The sequence below is a fragment of the Homo sapiens genome, chromosome 6, assembly GCF_000001405.40.
Source record: "Homo sapiens chromosome 6, GRCh38.p14 Primary Assembly".
NCBI classification, from domain to species: Eukaryota; Metazoa; Chordata; class Mammalia; order Primates; family Hominidae; genus Homo; species Homo sapiens.
The window spans coordinates 139,915,332-139,919,663 of NC_000006.12; positions in this window are offsets into that span (position 1 = coordinate 139,915,332).

A 4,332-nucleotide genomic window follows, 5' to 3' on the forward strand; every position below is an offset into this window, starting at 1 on the left:
TATGTCATCTATTTATAATTCTCACATCTGAACACTTAAAAGCTTTGGAAAAAGGATTATCAAACCTGTTTTTGTATATCCTAACTGAGGAACTTCAACTGTACTGTTGGCTGTAAGTACAAAATTGAATCTCCAATTTACTTCCAAGGACAACTGAATGACATCAGGGAAGATGAAAATTTAGTAGTCACATTTCAACAAAGTTTTTTTCATAATTTAAAAAGGAAAAATTAGTATTAATAATCAAGGTTGAATTTAGTATTAAAAAATTAGGGTTGAAAAAATTAGTATTGTGATTTTTGTAAGTACGGACAATCATAGACTTCTTCCATATAATCATTATCTTTGAGAGATATCTTTTTCAGTCATGACAAATATCAAAATCAAGAATTAAAACAAATTGAAATTATTACTATTTGAATTAGTATCCCCGTAAACACTTTAGTGTTATCATTGATAATGTATTTTCTGAAAGCAAAATCTTTTGTACCATCAATAAACAAAATGTAAATTATTTCAAGAATATGTATTTCTTCTTTATTCCATTATTCTAAAGTCTCATTGGCTGGGCATACTCATGCCTGTAATCCCAGTAGTTTGGGATCTCTTGAGCCGAGGAGTTCAAGTCCAGCCTGGGCAACATAGTAAGGCCCTGTCTCTACAAAAAATACAAAATTTAGCCAGGCATGGTGGTGTGGACCTGAAGTCTCAGCTGCTTGGGAGGCTGAGGTGGGAGGATTGCTTGAGCCCAGGAAGTAGAAACGGCAGTGAGCCAGTCATGCCACTCCACTTCAATCTTGGGGAACAAAGTGAGACTTTGTCTCCAAAAAAATTTTTTTTAATGAATAAAATCTATTTGTATATATATTAATGTTTAGAATATACTTACTGATTATTGATGGGGTGGGTGATCACTCCATCACCCCTAGGCAAGAGCATGCCAAACCCTTGAGGAGAATATGTCTGATTGGCTGCATGGGGATTCTGTTTGAGAATTTTGGAGAGATAAAGAGATAGAGAGAAACAGAGGGAGAGAGAATGAAAGAGTGAGAGATAAGGTATGCGGTATAGGCAAGTGTCTTAGACACTTCCTAGATGTCTGCTCTATAGACAGAGGCCTTCTATTAGATTAAAAGCACCGAGGCTGAGGATAAAGGGAAGATTGAAGAATTGCAGACTTAAACAAAATATTGAGCCTGACTTCTAGGATATTGAATTCTGATGAGATGGTCAGAGATGTACAACTTAAAATATCACTTACTCTGTAATTTTGCCAAGAGCTTGCTCTTTGGCTGGGCTTTCAGTGTTCTCTAGAAGACTGTGCCTTGATAAGGGTGATCTGTATTATCTTAGATGGAGACAGCAAGATAAAGATATTTGTTGAGTTAAGATGTTCATAATGCTATGGCTACCAGACATGGCTACATAGATCTATATAGATCCCAAGGACAGATCCAGAATATTCTTTCTGCAAGGAGCAAAACGAGTCTTTAAAATCAAATTTAAACAAGGCACCAAAAATGTTTGCATGATTCTAATTATAATTAAATACTGAATACTTTGAAAGTTTCGAAGTCATAAGGAGAATCATAGATAAAATATGTGTTAGGAAAATGATGTGCATAAACTTGAAAAAATAACCTTCCTAACTTTGAGACCATCATTTCTAAAAAGTAGGATGGAAACATATATTGTCTCACGTGGTATTGTTATGCCTTGATATTACTTATGTATACAGTTTTAAAAAGAGGAGCCATCAACATAGCAGACCCAAAACTGTATAACTAAACATCTACAGGGAAAAGTAAAATTAATAAATATTCTATGTACCATATTGAGAAAAGAAGAATGGAAGACTAGAGATCTGACTAAAGATATGAAAGGAACATTAAGAACAGGACATGAATTAATTACTCTCATTAATTAATAAGGAGTAGTTTTAATTGCAAAGGAAAACATCTTTATAAATTATTATTTAAAGCATAATAAATGTTAATTAGAAAAATCAAGAAATTTAGCAAGCTGTCAGGGAAAGTGGTTAAATGACTTTTAGAGGATATATTCAGAATATGAGAACCTAATTACTCAAATCCTGCTATTGTGTACATGGCTAGAATAGCTACAGATGTGGAATATATATACTCCACATCACTGGCAATATTTTCTTATCTGATGTGATAGCCAACCTAACTGTTTCATCAAACTTCTTAATTTGCTGGTAAAAATAAGAGTCAGTTGGAAATAGAGATAGAATTGACGCTTGACTAGCTCTATTAAATTCATACATTTATATTACATACTCCTTAGAAATCTTGATGTGAGAGACAAAACAATAAATTATTCATTGTTCCCTTACTTTTCTCGTTATAGGGTAACTATTTCCCAAAGTTTTTAAAGCCTATTCTACATATCCATTTTAGAGGTATTTTTCAATATCTTGTTAATTCAAAATTTGATTGTTAATTTCATTTTATGATGAGAAGAGATAAAAGATCATATTCAAGATTGGAGAGAAAAAAAGAAAGAAAAACACAGAGAAGCAATGAGGAAAACAGAATGAAATATAAAACCTGTTGGCCCTTATCTCTTTCCACAGGTCTTTTATTTATTAGGACTGCGCCCCTCCTCCATGAAGTTATGCTCAATCAGGAGAGTATTTCATCCCCAATCATATTAAAACAAGCCCTGCCCCCTCTTCTTTCCTATTTCTTCCCAGCCCCCAGCTCACACCTTCCATCGTCTGTGAAAGATATTTCTCTGTTCACGTGTTAGTGAATGAGGTCTCTCAGGGTGTTTGTCACTGTCATGTTTTGATTGTTTGTCTACATCATCCAGACTTTGTTTCATCTTTGGCACACAGACATTGAAATGAAATGGTATGTAGGAAAATCCAGGTTGCCTTTATAACAAAGAGCATGTTGCCTCTTTAGGGAACAATGAAACACGATGAATAGCTATTCAATTTTTTGTAGTATTTCCAGCACTGGAGAAAGCAAAAATCTGGCCCAACATTGAGAGTGGCCATGTCTTTTGTAGCCAGTACTGGAATGGTTAATTACTTTGCAGTTCTCTAAGAAGACAACAATGAGCAGGCTCCTGCCACTGCATCACAACCTAAAACAAAACTGACAGATCGCACTCCACAACTGAAACAGATGGTTGCTTACGGGGCTGACAAAGCGAATGTAAACTGTAGAGGCTTTTATTCTCTGCCGCAGCCCTAAAGAGGTGAAAAGAACACCTTCATTTCTGGAAGGGGACACACACACAGACACAAACACACACACACACAAACATACACCCCAACATGCATGCACGCACCCCACAAAAGCTAAATTCTTGCATGCTGTCGCCTCCATAAACTATTGCAAAATCTTTAGTCATGAGAGATTGCATTCAGGAGAAATTGAAATGTGGTTCTGTGCCTTTCCACAAACATGAAGAATAATGGACTTTTAAAATATTGGAGTGGACAGGATAGAGGGAGAAATGCTTCCACCTCGAACCTGCTTCTGAGTTACGAATGACAGTTTTTCAAACCATTCATTTTTAGAACCTAGGAAGACAGAGAATATGCTAGTATGTTGAAAAGTCACAAAACTAAGAGAAAAGTGTTTTATAATTTTGAAAAGAAGGTCTCTTAATCTTCAGAGATGGGTCATTTGGCTCAGAAGTATTTAAACAAACAGTATGGTAACTGGCAATGTGTCTTTTCAAGATACTAATAAGGTGGAAGGCAGGAACATGTTCAGGGATATTCTCATAGCTCTTAAGATGAGAACAAGAATGAAAAGAAGAAAAAGAGAATGTAAACTGAAAGTCAAGGAAGCCAACTCTGCTTCAACTACTATTTTATTGGGGAACATTCTATTTATTTATTATTTATTTATTGAGACTGAGTCTTGCTCTGCTGCCCTGGCTGGAGTGCAGTGGCGCCATCTTGGCTGCAAACTCCACCTCCCAGATTCAAGAGATTCTCACGGCTCAGCCTCCAGAGTAGCTGGGACTACAGGCACGCACCACCACCATTTTTTTTTGTACTTTTAGAAGAGAGATGGGGTTTTGCGATATAGGCCAGGCTGATCTTGAACTCCTGACCTCAAGTGATCTGCCCTCCTTGGCCTCCCAAAGTACTGAGATTATAGGTGTGAGCCAGAGGAACATTGGTTTAAAGTAGCTCTGGCATTCCCCCATGGCTTCAGTATTTCAGTGCTCTGTCATTTTGACTTGTAGATAGGACTCGCAAATGATCATAGAAATGCTGACCACTGTAGATTAGAAAGTTGTGTGACTTGGCTTTCCAAACTATGTGAGGCTCGAACTGTGTTCTTA